The sequence below is a fragment of the Homo sapiens genome, chromosome 6 (assembly GCF_000001405.40).
Source record: "Homo sapiens chromosome 6, GRCh38.p14 Primary Assembly".
Classification (NCBI taxonomy): domain Eukaryota; kingdom Metazoa; phylum Chordata; class Mammalia; order Primates; family Hominidae; genus Homo; species Homo sapiens.
In genome coordinates this window covers 156,930,732-156,948,098 of record NC_000006.12, presented here as the reverse complement: position 1 = coordinate 156,948,098, position 17,367 = coordinate 156,930,732, and the positions used below count along the sequence as shown (strand labels likewise).

The window sequence follows — 17,367 nt, the reverse complement described above, 5'->3', positions numbered from 1 at the left end:
GAGACTGTTTTAGCTTTGAAAAAGCTCACAGGACACCATGGTGGCACCATGCTCAGGAGCAGGTGCCTGAAGGAGCTGCTGTCATGACTGGAACAAGCTCCAGACAGACCACTATTCCACCACTGTTCAGCTGTCCTGCCATTCTGGAGTCTCTGTTTTCGTAGCTGGAAATTACAGCTCAAAAATAATCCAAATCAAATTAAATATATAAAAATACATGCATGTTAAGAAATCATTAATTTTAATTTTTCTTGTTTCATTAATTGCCCTTGGCAACTGTAATATGTTTCATCTTTAGCTTATACAAAAAGAATTTTTTAAACAAATTAAGCCAAAAGTTTTTCCCTTCATCCCTAAAGCAAAACCTTTGCTCTTTTCTTTGTCATTTCCTGGAGTAAAATGACAGGCCTTTTTAAAAATGAAGAAAAAATAGGGGGAGGGGCTTGATTTTTTTTTTTTTTTTAAATTAGCCCTTCAGAGTTCAGAGTAATCTTTCTAAAGTCCCATTTCCTCTGCTAGGATCCAAATGTACAAGAAACTCCTGGTGCTCAACGTGGTAACCCATTTCTACAAAATAAAAGGGGATATCTTTCAAAATAGCATGTTAAAGCAAGGTTCCCTGCACCATCGCCCCATACTCACACGCCCTACATCTGCAAAAAAGAAAAAAACAAGTAAAGGCATTAAATTTGTAGACTATGCCATACATACCTATATCCCCAAAAAGTTTCAGAGAAGGAGGAATTAATAATGAGACAAATTAAACTAAGAAATATTCCTCCAAAATGAACTAAAGTAAGAATGTAGCCCAAATCATTCAAAAGTATATATCAAACAAAGAAATACAAAGTAACTTGTCTTTACCCAAGGAAAGGAACCTATTTGGATAGAAATTTACTGCACTATCCTAAAAGCAAAGAAAATAAGACTAGCCTGAGTCCCAACTGAACTACAGAGTTTCAATTTTTATCTTGGGACTGTGCTCTTGCCCTAGTCCCAGTTACAGTTAGAGACACTCTGGGATGATGTGTGGAGTTGTTTATACACAGTCTGCTACAATACCCTTCAAATCATCTCCAAAAATTTAAATGAAATGCAAAGTTATAGCCAATGCCATCAATATTTCAACATCAATTCTAATTTATGACAATGTTTTACTTCTATAAAGAACTATATAAGAAATAAGGCTTTAGTAGCAAAGATGAGTGAGTTGCTTCCTTTTAGATGTTACAGGATTTGAGCAGTTATTCAGGACTTGCTTTACTCTCATAAAAATCTCTGGGCATTCCTTTCTCTTCCCACCACCGTTTCCCTGTGTTTGTCAGCAACGCCACCAACACATCCTGGTCACACAGATTAAAAACCTCAAAAGCATCTATCCTCCTTCCCTCCCTCCCTCCCTCTATTCCAACAATTTTCTTCCTCTGCACTCCCACTGCCACCACAATTTCACAGCATCGCTGAGCTAACACTCTCAAGTTGTGTCCCTGCTCCAGGGTCATGACAGCATTTCGAAAATGAAGTTTTGCATATGTTAAAAGGGCGTTACAATGCGCTTAGTAACCTGAAAGCTCTAGACTTTCGAAATACTATAGAAGAATGGAGTGGGCTTTAGGCAGGCACATAGATGTCAGGAAGCCCTGTCTTTAAAATTCACACACCTCTATCTTGGACACTCACTAATGGGCATATTTATTTATTTATTTATTATTTATTTTTTATTTTTTGAGATGGAGTCTCACTCTGTCGCCCAGACTGGAGTGCAATGGCACAATCTCGGCTCACGGCAACCTCCACCTCCCAGGTTCAAGCAATTCTCTTGCCTCAGCCTCCCGAGCAGCTGGGATAACAGGCGTGCACTGCCATGCCCGGCGAACATTTTTTTTTTTTTTTTTCGTATTTTTAGTAGAGACGGGGTTTCACCATGTTGGCCAGGCTGGTCTTGAACTCCTGACCTCAAGTGGTCTGCCCGCCTTGGCCTCCTGAAGTGCTGGGATTAAAGGCATGAGCCACCACGCCTGGCCCATTATTCTTCTTTTACTAGCAGTTTCTAGTGTCCATTAACTAATATTTTCACCTTTGTCGTTGTTGAGACAGGGTCTTGCTCTGTTGCCCAGGCTGGAGTACAGTGACGTGATCACTGCTCACTGCAGCCTCCATCTCTCAGGCTCAAGCCATCCTCCCACATCGGCCTCACAAAGTAGTTCAGACCACAGGCATGCCCTACCACACCCAGGTAATTTTTGTATTTTTAGTGAAGATGGGGTTTCACCATGTTGGCCAGGCCGGTCTCAAGCTCCTAGGCTCAAGAAATCTGCCCACTCATGGCTTTCCAAAGTGCTGGGCCACCATGCCCAGACACTATTTTCATTTATATACAACCAGACTTTCAAAAATAGTGTCCAATGAATGAAGTGTCATATTACCATTCTAAAGCCAAACTTTTTCCGGGTACAGCATAATTCCAAAAGACCAACTACACATTTTCCCCAGGTGTGGACTGACTCACTGCACAGCTCAACCACCCATGCCCATGGGGAAAAGAAAGACTCAGGGAGATCCCTACCTACGCAAGTCAGGAAATTCTAAAAACAGGAAAGAATCTGCAGGCACAGGTGCCAGGAGGCCGCAGCACACTCGGTGGTCCCCAGGCTCACTGTGGCCTGCTTTAGAGAGGACATCTGCCTGAGGAGCGGACATGGCTTCTGCCACTGCCTCAGTGCATACCATTTTGTGCTCTGACAGAAAGAGCAGTGAGAAAACAAGTAAAAATGAGAACTGTAACACACCACTCTACCCAGATCAAAACCAGTGAGCTCTAAACACTCACAAAAAAAAAAAAAAAAAAAAAAAAAAAAAAAAAAAGCCGGATGCGGGGGCTCACACCGGTCATCCCAGTACTTTGGGTGGCAGAGGCGGGCGGATCACAAGGTCAGGAGATCAAGACCATCCTGGCTAACATGGTGAAACCCCGTCTCTACTAAAAAAAAAAAAAAATATACAAAAAAATTAGCCCGACTTGGTGGCAAGTGCCTGTAGTCCCAGCTACTCGGGAGGCTGAGGCAGGAGAATGGCAGGAACCTGGGAGGCAGAGGTTGCAGTGAGCCGAGATCGAGCCACTACACTCCAGCCTGGGCGACACAGCGAGACTCCGTCTCAAAAAAAAAAAAAAAGGAAAAGAAAAAGAAGAAGAAGAAGAAAAAGCTTGCAGGGGATGCAGGAGGCATTCTCCAGGAAAACAGCTTGGGTTTCATTAAAGACGAACAGTGGTTTTTCATGTCTCTGGGTTGCTACTACTTCCATTCATGTCAATCTCGGTTTAAAAAGCATAGTGTGTTTATGAATGACTTTTTAGTATAACAAATGTAAACCTGAGGTTTGGAGGTGAAGGGAGGCCTCAGATACATGCCCTTAGGGCCTTCCTTCCCCCACCAAGAAATGAAAAGCAACTGCCACATGATCAACTTGGTTCAGAAAACCATCCGGTTGGCATTAGCCTTTGCATTACAAAGATTTCGGCGTCCTGCAGCTTTTTCATTTATTTGGTTGGCTGGTTGGTTGTTCTGCCTCCCCCTTCCCTTTCCCATGAAGTTTTTTCCTTTTCCCTAGACTTCCCTATATGCAACGACATCACGGCTCCCAAACTGATCATACAGGAGAGGAAGGAGGACCTCTGGAATCTCTAGGATGAACAAGAAGAGGGAGACCACAGGAAGGTCTGCGGCTCTCCAATGGCCTGCATAGTAAGATTATATACTCAGTAAGGCAACCCCAAATCCCTCAATAAGTTCAAGTGTCCCTGCTACAAAAGCAAATGGCATCGGAGAATGGAAGAGAGGCCACCAAGCAGCACACAGGAGCCGTTTCTGAAGATTTCAATGTACCCGCACTTTACTCACTCCACTGACTTTTTCCCAAATGCAAAGGGCCCGTTTTTATCAGTGCTTTTTCTCATACACTAACAAAGATGGCTTTTAATGTAAAATTTTGGAGCTAGAAGGTGCTAGAGTTTCCTAAATCTAACTTACTCATTTTTCAAAGAAACAGAAGCTCTGAGAAATGACGTGTATTGCTCAAGGCCAGAACCTTAGCTGAGAGTCTGCCCTGTTGGCATTCAGTGTGGCGATTAGAATAGGTCTCCCAGCCAAAACATATTATTTTATAAAAACAGTAAAGCAATTGTTTCTTCCATACAAGTCATTATAAGCTGTTTATTTTCATTTTTGTGAGGAGGAAAAAAGGCAAGTAATATAAACTACTTTCAAATCACAATTTTTACAATGACCCGATGGTAAATAAAATTGTAGTTAAATATTTATTTCATTTCAGTCTAATAATCAGGTTAAATCAAGAGCTCTAAAAAATTAGCTATTAGTAAGTGAGTGCTAAAAATGATATACGTAATTTTAGAATATTCTCACATGCAATGAACACGTACCATATGCACAGATGCATGCATACAGACAGCAACAAATACAAACCTGTGCACTGAAAAATGTAAATGGTATCTCAATCACGAACCAAGTAGAAAGATGTGCACACCATGATCTAAAATTGGGTACAATTTCGGTCCTGTGGAAAGAGACAATCGTACCAACATGCTTTTTTTTTTTTTTTAAAGAATGCATTATGAAGAAAAGTAGTTGAGAAAGCTTAGTCACTTTTTTGTGGCTTACAGCTTTTTTCTCCTCTTTTATTCCAGGCTTAAACAAAGTTCAGTGGGGCATCAAAATGCCTGTTTTAAATTACAGTCTATATTTTAAAATAGAATGCACGCACGGCATGTTCCTGAAGCTAGGGGGTGGGAGTGTTATTCACGGAAAATTGAAGGCTTGTTGAGTCAATAATCTTCTTTCACACAGTAACAATTTTCCGCTAAAATTTCTTGACCCAAACAAAGGAAAACAAGACCATTCAGTTATTTTACAACAATTTAGAGAAGGCAAAAGAAAAAGATGAGAAAACAAGAGAGACACCTCTAAAATCCTACATTGTGAGGGAAGAATGGGAAATTTTGGCTCAGGTAGAACCTTCTCTACATGTATTTATTTCCTCTCCTAAACTGACAGTTAACATTAAAAATTGTTACTTCCAGTCCCAAAGAAACATAAAAGCAAATAACCAGTCTACAAATGCTACTATGAGCTCCTGCTGGTTATATATCCCTTGTTATATAAAACAGATGTGTGCCTTCAGAGTTACCTGCGAAGTGAAAATCTGTAAATTAAAAGCTATTTCCCACCTAACTTGGATAATATAAAGTAGAATGCATTCAACGCCTCACACTGGCCATTGCCTGCAGGAGCTGGAGGCAGCAGATCCCAATGCCCAGGAGAAGCAATAGGAGGAGGAGGATGGGTGGGTGAAGATGGTGGCATCTAGCCCAACATGGCAGGCACTGCCATGCCAAAACCAGAAGTGCAGGCTAGGGTGAGAAGAGGGACCTCAGAACATTAGAGTCATGTGTTTTTTTTTTTTTCTTTTTAGCATAAAAAATAAAAAGTTACACTTGCAGGAGCTGCAGTCCTGCCCTGGCCTCTGCACCATTGTGGAGCTCCTTGTAAGCTCTGCTCTAGGTGGCTCTAGACTCCCTGAGACCCACTCTGGCTCCCCCTTCTGCTGGCCTGAGGCCCATGGGGTCCACGCTGCCTCTGTGGCCCAGGCATCCAGACCACAGAAGAGCTCCGTGGCCTCACAGAGGTCACTGGAAGAGCTGCAAGCTGGTCAAAGCCTGCCCATCCCTCACTTGTTATGGCAAAATTTGTATGCTGACTTTTCTATTAGCCAGGAATATCTGCATTTATCATCTCTTACTTAATGAGCCTCATTTATCAACTATAGATCATCCTTATCCTTCTATTATCAAAACCAATATCCTGCAAATCAGTTATGCTTCAGCCTCTCTTAATCTCCAATTTTGTCTAGTGTCTATTTTTTTATAGTACTCCTTCATACTCCTTCATTAATTTTTTAGGAACTAATTGACACTCCTATAAAATGGGTTGAAATTCATTTCCCCCATATTTTAAATGGAAATCTTCAGAATACTATATGAAAAAGTTTTCAGGGGCATGCTTAGTTGAAATGTATTTTAAAAAATTAAACAAATTCTTAAAATTAAAACATTACCACTAAGCAAATATCTCAGCTATGACGAATTCAGAATTTTATTTTAACGGGAACTGAGTATGTCAACTTAGAAACACTTTGCACACAAACATCTGAATTATTTAAAAGCAAACTATAGTTCTTTCTCAATATTAATTTATTCAGACTTTCCATTATATTTAGCCTGTTTTTTCCTGGAAGAATTCCAAACTGTTAAGGTTTTATTGAATTTTCATTTACAGAACAAATATTTAAATGGAAGATTGTTTTGAAAGAAGGAGACAGACATACCTTCCTGCTTCCTACCTTGTTCAAGTTCAAGCATTATCCTCTATTTTCAAAATGACTATCAATATCATGAAAATATCCTAGGGAATAAAATCACAGGATATCACATCCTAAAGAAATAATCCATTTTGGAAAATAAACATCTGTCAGAGTCACTATCATATTTTCTAAATTCAGGTTTTCCAGCAAGGTCCTGAAATGCTCTTAATCTTAATCCAAAAATAACTGATATCTCCAGATAGAACAGACCAGTGATGAAAATTATGTTCAAGAACTTGATGAATCCTAAGAAGCTGAAGTATTGCATGTTCCCTTTAAAACTTCCCCAAGACATCAAAATGCATCTGTACCTTTGGTTTTGAAACGATGCAGATGATAAGGTATGCCTGTAGCTGTTCTGGGGGACAGGGCACCATCCTTCAGAGAACCTCCTCTTCCTCCCTGGCACAGGAGGCTTCCATTTTATAAAGTATTTTCTCTGAAACTCTAAAACTCAACATAGCCTAATAACATTTTGAGAATACTGATAATAAACAGCTTAAGTCTTCAGCAACACACAGGCATCATCCATGCCTGAACACTGAGATAAGCCTGATGACAGATATGGGTTTTCCTTCATTAACTTATAATTTTTTTAATGTTCATAAGGATTTGAGAAGGATCAATCAACGGAAGACAGCTCCACTCTTAACCTTTTAATGACAACCATTTAAATCAACCTCAAATAAAAAGGTTTCAAAATACTTCATTCAATAGCCATACACCTAATTCTTACCTGGTAGATTTTAACTTTTGCCAAAACCTGCCAGCTCACAGGTTCAGATGGTCTTAGCAATTTACATTTCTAGCTGGGTTGGACTGAGAACTAGCAAAAAGCTGAACCCAGTTAAAAAGCTTTTCCCGGTAGTTTCCAATCATTCACAGTATTATCAAATCTACATGCTTAGAACATCCATATGAATGTCAGCAATATTCAAACATGCTTCCAAAACACATGACCTTTTGCCACTAACCAACGTAAGTGTCATTAAAGATTAAGAAACAAAAACCAACACAAACAGAGTATTCTTCTTGAATTAAAGGCAGAACGCTGCATGCTCTGCGGCTAATAGCCAAGCCCCAAGAATATTCTTGGTAATAAAAGTTTTCCAACCATTCTCTTTCAGGCTTCCAATATCCTGTTTAACACCCTCTATTTCAAAGAACGACCAGCATTTACTACCTCCTTCCTTTCACAAAGAGCCAAAAAACATATGTTTTATCTAAAGCCCAATATTTCCGTCTAATTGCAAACTCAACAAAAGTGCCATAAGCACTATTCAACACATTCAGGGATTTTTAGTTAACTCAGAAAGATCAAACCGTTTTCATGCCAACCTCTTTAGATATTTCCTATTTAAGGAAGAAAGGGTCACAAAGAGGTTTTTAATGACCTGATGAGCCTTCTAGAACAGCCAATATTTATAGAAATATTTCACAAAGTCCTAACAAAGCAGTCCATTTTCAAACGCTCTTAGAGTATGACTGCCAAACTGATTGTATTCCAAACTGATTGTATTCTATATCTTAGGTAAACAGAATAATGAACCTCCTATCTGAAATACAAAGCTAGCAGCATGCCTCTCTGAAGAATAAAACAAATTAGTTATTTTTAAACTGAGGAATATTAACAACTCTTCAGATCCCTGGAGGGAAAAGCACTATAAGAAAGTGCTTATATAGTGTTTTATAAGAAAATAAAACTTTTTCCTTTTTCATGTTTACTTCCCTTTATACATGTTTACGAATATTTTATTAACTACCCATCTGTAATATAATTACTGAACTTATGATTACCATTTCTGTCAATTAATTTTTTATAAGTAAAAAAGATGTATTACTAAGAACAGAATGCTTTTAGGGTATTTTTAGCTTAATTATCCAAAGTGTCCACTTCTTTTCCTAAAGCTATGGTTACCAAAGTAAATCCAAATGTCACTTGGTAAAATAGAATCATTTTAAGAATAACACCCACCTGGCGATGCAGACATCCACCCATTTAATCACTCAGCAGCACCAGCACAGAGAGCACAGGTGCCCCGAGAGCCATTCAATGCCACCTAACAGATCCCTTAGCAATTAAAAGAAAATTCTGAAAATGAGGAAATAATTTATTTTAAAATAATTTTTATAGAAATTTTTGAGGAAAATATTTACTGAATAGGACATAATAAATACCATGAAAAGCTTCTAGTGAAATAGGGGAGCGAAGACAATGTTCAGGATAACTATAATAAAAGGATAAATAATAAATGCCACAAGAGGTGAAAATTTAACAGAACACTCAACAAAAAGTGTATTAAATCATATTTGAGGGCTATCTTGGAATATAAATTGAGGGATATCCAATGTTTATGAAACAAGAAAATAAGTAACTGACAGCATCTTTTAGACATTCCACTGTGTCTTTAGCTTAAATGCTAGGTTTATTTCATACCAATATTAGAGGTCGTGAAAGCTAAATGTGCTCAAATTTTAAGTGATAATAGTCTAAGAAAGAGAGCTCTTCAATGTTAAGATTTATCAATAACAGTAATACCAAGGATGTATAAACTAATACAACTAAACAGGGAAATGCTGTACGACTAAGAGGTATAGAAATAAGTGGACGATATTAAGGAGGATTTGTTCAGTGCTTAGGTCTGAGTCCACTAAGCAAAAAGTAAATATGACTGGTCATGGCTCCAAGATAACGAGAGAACAAGTTATTAATTTATCAATCATTTGCCTTCTGCAGATGATGTGAAGGTCTATCTAAGTTAGCTGGAAAACATAACTGCATTGCCTACTGAAGGTCATCAAGAATTTAATGGCATGCAAATATAGAAAAACAGGTTCACACAACAGTGAGGACAACTTGCTGAGGGATCAAAGTATAGATGTAGCATAAAGATATTGGAAATGCCTTGATTTCTTATAATGCAAAGTTGTTACATTGTAACAAACATGCTAAAGAAAAATCTACTTAGGATACAGGTAGAAAATATCACATGCAGAAACATTACAAACCTATCTGTAAGCAAAAAGACTAAGAAATTACTACTTGAGAGGCATTCTTGTCATCGTCATTACATAAAATGAACAGAATAATTACACATTAGAATCACTATGTTGCATTTCATAAATGGTACAGATAACACAATATACTTAATTCCAAATTACAAAACTACAGGTTTCAAATATCATGGATTGACTGTAGGTGAAAAGACAAAATTTATATCCCTGACACCTGAAAAGGAAAACCATAGCACAACAGTAAATCTACAAAGGATCCAACAGCAAATTCAGATGTGATAACAAATACAGCTTCATGGGCTCTCCAGAATCAACCCAGCCAAGTTAGAGGACTACAGTATCTAATAAAAGTAACATTGTAAAATACAGACTATTAGAGCCGTAACAGAGTATCAACAAATCATTCCCTGAAACCACAATGACCTTAGCTGTGTGCAACTTATTATAAGTATCCACATAAATTAAAATATTTGTAAGCCCCATACAGAAAGTTTTTACACATGCAAAGCCCTCGTGGAAAAAAAAAAAAGTGGTGCAATAAATTTCATTTAACTACAGCCAAATTTCATCCTAACAGATTGGGGGTTTTAGGTGTAGCAGGTTATCTTACAGTTTGTCCTTTATTCAGTAACTGAATCTTCTACATACTTAACATAAAACCTGGAAACTCTGCTCTCTAAAGATTATTGAAATGTGTTTGAAGTACTATTGAGTCAACCAGCATCTTATTTATCTGTGAGTTACAAAAACGGAAAGAAAATACCAATTGGGGTATTTCATTAAAAAAAAAACTTACATTATGGACAACTTTAAATACTTTTGGGAAGTAGGCAAGATAAAGGTTAAGGAAGATAGCTGTTATACATACATAACAAGACAGAAATAGAACAATTCAGAAAACATTTAAACAGTTGATGACTATATTCGTTCATCTCCTAAATGCCTTCATCCACTCTTCCAGCAATCAACTTAAAAGCTCCTATCCCAGACCAAACTCTTCAGTCAGTTATCTGAAACTACAATACTTCATGCCATCCCTAATAACACTGTAGAGTTAGCTGAATGTCAACCATCCAATCCAACACAGATCCATGGCAAAAGGCACGCACTAGTGAGTGATGCTGAAGTTTCTGAGTAGATATGAAGAAAGCAGTTTACCACAAACTATTTTTATAGCTATGCAGAAAATCTGCATCCATTTATGACAAATTTACCAACCTGTGTCACAGTACAAAATCATCAGCCAATGACAAATCTACAAGGTCGAACCTCTCCAAAACCACTAAAAAACTGCTGAAAAAAGTGGAATTCACTGTTTACCTGCTTCCCATGCATCTATTTAAATTTCATAGAACCACAAAAGCTAATTTCCAAATACTTGGCAAATGTAGTATTTATCGACAGCATGCATGCCTCTGTCTCTCTCCTTCTCTCTCTCTCACACACGTACACACTACATGCTTACCAAGCTGCGAACTATCTGCTACAGAAAGTTTAGCAGCATACAACACAAAATCCATTACCTATTTCCCTCCTTCAAAACCAAATACCTAGACAACAAATACATTAACACTACTAAAGGGGGGGGGAAAAACACCACAATAAGATTTCACCCTCTCTCACATAAAAGTAAAAGGTATAAAAATTAGAGTTTCAAAAATATATCCATCAGATTCAAAGACAGTAGACATCCTGTGGTCATCACTTACCTTCTCTAAATCTGCATATACATTAAAATGTATATGGTATGGTACGCATGTCAAATGTCATGTTTAACATTCACTACAAATGTCTGTTCTCAAATGTTTAGAAGTAATAAATCTAAGTTAATGCAAACATAGTTGAAATTCCAATTAAAATCATGGCTATACTGAATTCCCATCTTAAAACAAACCTTCTCCATAGAAACTAGGCAATGACAACAATTCTTCAAATAAATGTAAAAATATTTATTGGTATAGATTTATTCTTTTTTTTTTTTTTTTTTTTGAGATGGAGTCTCGCTCTGTTTCCCAGACTGGAGTGCAGTGGTGCAATCTCGGCTCACTGCAACCTCCGCCTCCTGGGTTCAAGTGATTCTCCTGCCTCAGCCTCCTGCAGATTTATTCTTTTAGTTAATAAAGAAGACTTCCTTTAAATTAGGTTCTCTATAAAAGAAGGCAAATTAAGTAGATATGAACTATTTATGAGCATCAACATGATACCCCATATAATAGCCACTACTCTTATAAATAGAAACCCCAATCACCATATACTATTTATTGGTGGAAATAAACAGCTTTGTCAATTTTTTTTTTTTTTTTTTTGAGATGAAGTTTCGCTCTTGTTGCCCAGGCTGAAGTGCAATGGCGTGATCTCGGCTCACCACAACCTCTGCCTCCTGGGTTCAAGCGATTCTCCTGCCTCAGCATTCCGAGTAGCTGGGATTACAGGCAGGCACCACCACACCTGGCTAATTTTGTATTTTTAGTAGAGATAGGGTTTCTCCATGTTGGTCAGGCTGGTCTTGAACTCCCGACCTCAAGTGATCCGCCCACCTTGGCCTCCCAAAGAGCTGGGATTACAGGCGTGAGCCACCGCGTCTGGCCTCAAATTTCAAACTACCTTCTTTTGGGTGATTTCTCATTACATAAATAGAAAGTCCTAGAAGAAATTCAAATTACTATCAGGTATTTTATCTCATCATTTGTATCCTTTGCAAAGTGCAAATTTCTTTTAAGTTTTGACTCCTCTAAGGACACCTCTGTTCTGTATCGCTGCCAAAAAGCAACAGCCTAAAGAAAGCTCAACTGTACAACAGCAATAACCACCTGCACACAAAATCGACCAGCCGCATAAAACCTTCCAACTGATGTCTACACTCTGCAACAGAGATATATACACATGAAATAGACTTATCCAGGACTACAGAGCTCCTAAAAGGTAAACCTTGAAAAATTGACCACAAAATAAACCTGAAGTCTAGAAACTTCTCAATCATGTCATAATATAAAGTAGAACAAACAAAAACAACAGCTCTTTCTAAAAGTCTTTAACTCATTACATTTCCAAATCAGCACAATAATGTCTTACTGGTAAACTTGATGGTCTTTCTTGCTGTATTAAGTTCAAGTCTTCATGGTTAGGTTTTCCGGGGGCCAGAGGAGGTTGAGATCTAGTTCCATAGCCTTCCTGAGACATGTCCTAAAAAAAAACACAAACACAAAGCACTTCATAAATATCTCAATGAGTTATAAGCTTCTTCAGTAACTAAAATTAAACAAAAGCTTGGCTGGGCACAGTGGCTCATGCCTGTAATCCCAGCACTTCGGGAGATCAAGGCAGGCAGATCGCTTGAGCCCAGGAGTTCAAGACCAGCCTGGGCAATGTAGGGAGACTCCATCTCTACAAAAATAATAAAAAATTAGCCGAGTGTGGTGGTGCAGCTACTTGGGAGGCTGAGGTGGGAGGATAGCTTGAGCCTGGAGGTGGAGGCTGCAGTGAACTTTGACTGCACCGCTGCACTCCAGCCTGGGTGACAGAGCGAGACCCTGTGTCAAACAAAACAGAACAAAACAAAACAAAAGCTTATCACAACCAACAACTGTTACATTTTAGCAGGCATATAAATATGTTATGGCTATAATTTAATACATTATCAGAAGCAAAAATTTTAAAAAGCAGTGAATAACAGCAGAAATATAAACTATATATATATATATATATATATATATATATATATATATATATATATATAATTAACAACTAAATTTATTATGAGACCATACCAAGTACTGTATTTGAGTTTTGCAGGAAGAAGACTAGTTCATAAAAACAGGGAGGGAGGTCAGCTGTAGCCAAACCAAACTGTCTTTAAACCCAGAGTGAACCCAGAGCAAACCAAAAGCTCCCTGGATTGTTGAATTCCGATTTTGGTCAAACTGCCTTTAATATTACCTCAAAAAGTTGAAATAACTAACGAAAACCTTACTATCAACTATATCTTAACAGGTCCTCTCAATTACCCACATAACAGCGTAAATCGTTATTAAGCTCATAGGATCCTGAGGTTTCTATAAAACCAATAAACACGCATATATAGAACTCCATATGTTCATGGGGCATAGTTTTCAGAGAACCATCATAAAGAATAAAACAACAGTGGGGAACAAAACACACCCAAAAAACCTGAATAGGCACAATAAACTTATAATTAACACGGCCTTTCTGGCATCTTGTCAAACACTCTTCCAAGAGGTATTCTGCATGGTTTCAGCATTGTGCTGAAATAATTAGCATATATAACCCAAATACCACACCACACCACATTTACTGTATACCAGATCTCTAGCTACCTGTGTATGCTCAGCTACTAAACATTCTACCATCGTTTCCCCCTGAAGTCAAACAGCAGGACAGAATTGTTAAATACTTATTATAGCATGTCTCAATTGGCACTGAAAGTTGAAGAACCAGTTTCTAATTGAAGAGAAAAAAAGAATGGAAAATATTGCTTTAAAATAAAATTATCTCCCTTCCCTTGTCAGTTCAAATATGTGTTGGTATTAAAGAAACATCATATACAAGTTCTACTTCTGTTAAGTCCCTGGAATATTGCTTTAAAAATTAATGTTTATTACTTGAAATCCTATAAAAAGCTTCTGCTGTCCCACCCCTTTCTTGCACACTTAAAATTACATGGCTTCTTAAGCCAGGAAACTTTGGAGCAATAGCTGGTACCACCAAGTACACAAGCTGTACAAACTGGATTTAACCAGCCTAGTGTTGGTGCGACCTGCTTTTCAACACGCTCTGAAATACAGGAGCGTGCCAATAATTCCAGCTTTTCACATGTAGCCCTTCTTCCCTTTAAATACATCTCCACCAAAAAAACAAACAAACAAAAAACAAACAAAAAAAGCCTCAGATATTTAACCTCTACTAGTAATGTACCCAGTTCATATCATATTTTTCTAAGAGAATTCAATGCTATTTGTCTAGGTTTTTATTTGATAACAATAAGGTGAGAGTAAGCACAGGCAATCCAAGGACACTTACAGAGTGGCTCTGCAATCTGGTTGCCAGCAGAGGGTGACAATTAAGCTTGTGGGGCACAAAAGCAAAGGCTGAAAGATTATGACCACTCTCCCCACCACCTTCCCCCTCAAACACCACGTTTCTTCCAGATTCTAGATTTCCACTTGTCACACAGACTTCCCGCTGGGTGCCCTGCAGGTTCCTTTCCATAAACAGCATGGATTTCAAATCAAGCAGGGCACAAGGCCTCTATTCAGGGGCCTTCACCCTGTTACAAAAAAGCACAAAGGTGCAGGACAGCCTCACAATGGGCAAACAAATGAGCAGGCCCCGCCTCCTCCTCCAACACACGTGCACACAGTGTCTGCCCAATGCCTACTTTTTTTTTTTTAAAGTAAACTTCAGCTAGGAAATAGTAACAGGCTCAAAAGTCCTATGCATATTACCCTTTTATGTTTCTTTTTATTTTCTCTTCTTCGCTCAATGAACTGCTTTCTAAAGAGGCTGAAAAAGATCATTACAACTATAGTGGATAAACATTTCAATTTAGACATCGTCCCCCTAAAATAAGCAACACAGACTAACAGACTATGAAAGCTATCAGAAAAATGTATTGTGGCCTTATATTTCACTCTTTAAGGCTTTAAAAGTTCAAAATAATTAGATGCCACCAAAATCTCAAATACTATTCCTAACCACAAGAAGCTTTCAGCTATTAAGTACAGTTGGAAATAAAATCAAAACAAAATTTAGTGAGAACTATTGAAAAGGAAACGTGTTCTGCCTCAGCTTATGTTTGAACATAAGTATTAATTTAATAAGGGAGCACATAGAAAAGGTGCCAAGTTTAAACCTAGAACAATCAACAACTACATATAACTTACAGTGGGACTATAAAGTCTGTTTGGCTGTTTTAATAATGATATAAAAATATTCCATAAGAAACTTGAGCTTTTTCATCTTAAAAAGCTATATTTATTTTTTGGTACATACTTATTTTCATCTCAAGAAGAGCAAATACACAGTAAAAAGGCAATGACAGTATCAGAAAATAAAGAATATGTTCAGCATCATATTTTATAAACAAAGAAGCACAGCTTTACACTTTAAAACATTACTGCCATCTTTGGTTATTTGTAAGTTTAAGCAGCCAGTGAACACCAGTGTGTAAACCAATATACACATATAAATAATTACATTTATCTGCTGTATAGAATGCCATATTGTGGTAATACTGCAATGCACAAGAACCAGGCAATGGAAATGAGGTTTCCCCTTTCAGAATTCATCAGTACTGTTTTTCTACATCTCACTCACAATCTTTTAACCATTGATGGACTCTGGCCTTAACCTTCTTTATGTTACGAGTCAAAGGTTAAAGGGAAACTGACTCACAAACAAAGGTGTGAAAAAAGTTTAGCGTAGTAGTAATTACACATTTGTTTCAGAAATTTTCAGTTTGGTATTTCTTCACCCCGCCCCCCCCCTTTTTTTTTTTTTTAAGAAACAAGGTCTCGATCTGTGGCTCAGCCTAATCATAGCTCACTGTAGCCTCTAACTCCCAGGCTCAAGCAATTCTCCTGCCTCAGCCCACCCATGCCTCCCTAGTAGCTAGGACTACAGGCACATACCACTATGCCTGGCTGATTTTTTTTTTTTTTTTTTTTTTTTAAGACGGAATCTTGCTCTCGTTGCCCAGGCTGGAGTGCATCGCGCAATCTCAGCTCACCGCAATCTCCACCTCCCGGGTTGAAGCGATTCTCCTGCCTCAGCCTCCCGAGTAGCTGGGATTACAGGCATGCGCCACCATGCCTTGCTAATTTTGTATCTTTAGGAGAGATGGGGTTTCTCCATGTTGGTCAGGCTGGTCTCAAACTCCCAACCTCAAGTGATCAGCCTGCCTCGGCCTCTCAAAGTGATGGGATTACAGGCGTGAGCCACCGTGCCCGGCCTAATTTATTTATTTTTTTAATATTTTGAGAGATGGGGTATCACTATACTTCCCAGGCTGGTCTCCAGCTACTGGCCTCAAGTGATTCTCCTGCCAAAGTGCTGAAAATCAGGAATGAGCCACTGTGCCCAGGCCTCTTGTAACAAATGTCGTAGACGCTGACTGAATGCCTACTATGGGCTTATTCCCTTTGCGAGGTACTTGAACATATCACAGTATGAAATGAAACATGACCAGGAGGAAAACACTAGTATCCCACTTCTACTACAGGAAAGGGTAAAGATAACTATTACAAGGGCCTAGTAGAAAGGCCAGGAGCAGGAGTGCTTCTGTTTTCTTTCATTAGGAAATGAATAAAATCCAAATAGCAATATGTAACTTTGAATAAAATGCAGAATAACCAAAACGTCAAAGACACTTTTTAAAAAATTAAAAAGGGAAAACATTCCCATGGTATAAGCTTTGAATTTTTTTTTTTTTTTTTTTTTTTTGAGACTGAGTCTCGCTCTGTAGTCCAGGCTGTAGTGCAGTGGGCGCAATCTCGGCTCCCTGCAAGCACTGCCTCCCGGTTTCAAGAGATTCTCCTGCCTCAGCCTCCCGAGTAGCTGGGACTACAGGCATGTGCCACCACACCTGGCTAATTTTTTGTATTTTTAGTAGAGATGGGGTTTCACTGTGTTGGCCAGAATGGTCTCTATCTCCTGACCTTGTGAACTGCCCGCCTTGGCCTCCCAAAGTGCTGGGATTACAGGCATAAGCCACTCTGCCTGGCCTAGCTTTGGATTTTTTTATTTACCTTTCTGCAATTTTTCAATGTGTTACCAAGTTTAAATGTGAATTTAAATCCTTTTTCCTTTATATACAACTAGAGCATATTTTCTGTAAACAGCACGTTGTTCAGCCTCTTAATATATTGTAGAGCTCATTCTATATCTGCAACTAAATATCTA

At 38.3% G+C, this 17,367-nt stretch overlaps 1 protein-coding gene across 36 annotated transcripts in view, besides 4 other annotated features; it reads right to left on the bottom strand.

Moving 5' to 3' along the window:
* The window catches only part of ARID1B (AT-rich interaction domain 1B), a 434,754-nt gene that overhangs the window by 262,681 nt on the left and 154,706 nt on the right, over positions 1-17,367 (bottom strand). For 35 of the 36 annotated variants that reach the window (NM_001371656.1, XM_011535984.3, XM_017011105.3 and 32 more), the window contains one exon: positions 12,523-12,633. In NM_001371656.1, coding sequence (NP_001358585.1) covers positions 12,523-12,633 — 111 coding nt within the window. Of the gene's footprint in view, positions 1-11,378; positions 11,598-12,522; positions 12,634-17,367 lie in introns of those variants that run through there. The other variant, NM_001438492.1, reaches the window with a different exon arrangement.
* Positions 1,410-2,137: an enhancer, noted in NCBI's record as "H3K27ac-H3K4me1 hESC enhancer chr6:157267096-157267823 (GRCh37/hg19 assembly coordinates)". NCBI's record gives its function as "activates a minimal SCP1, AML or CMV promoter by ChIP-STARR-seq in primed H9 embryonic stem cells {active_cell/tissue: H9 hESC(primed)}" and the evidence as "EXISTENCE:reporter gene assay evidence [ECO:0000049][PMID:30033119]".
* Positions 2,138-2,866: an enhancer, noted in NCBI's record as "H3K27ac-H3K4me1 hESC enhancer chr6:157266367-157267095 (GRCh37/hg19 assembly coordinates)". NCBI's record gives its function as "activates a minimal SCP1, AML or CMV promoter by ChIP-STARR-seq in primed H9 embryonic stem cells {active_cell/tissue: H9 hESC(primed)}" and the evidence as "EXISTENCE:reporter gene assay evidence [ECO:0000049][PMID:30033119]".
* Positions 3,350-3,644: a silencer, noted in NCBI's record as "tiled region #494; HepG2 Repressive non-DNase unmatched - State 23:Low, and K562 Repressive non-DNase unmatched - State 23:Low". NCBI's record gives its function as "represses a minimal TATA promoter and a strong SV40 promoter by Sharpr-MPRA in HepG2 and K562 cells {active_cell/tissue: HepG2 | K562}" and the evidence as "EXISTENCE:reporter gene assay evidence [ECO:0000049][PMID:27701403]".
* Positions 5,567-6,068: an enhancer, noted in NCBI's record as "H3K4me1 hESC enhancer chr6:157263165-157263666 (GRCh37/hg19 assembly coordinates)". NCBI's record gives its function as "activates a minimal SCP1, AML or CMV promoter by ChIP-STARR-seq in naive H9 embryonic stem cells {active_cell/tissue: H9 hESC(naive)}" and the evidence as "EXISTENCE:reporter gene assay evidence [ECO:0000049][PMID:30033119]".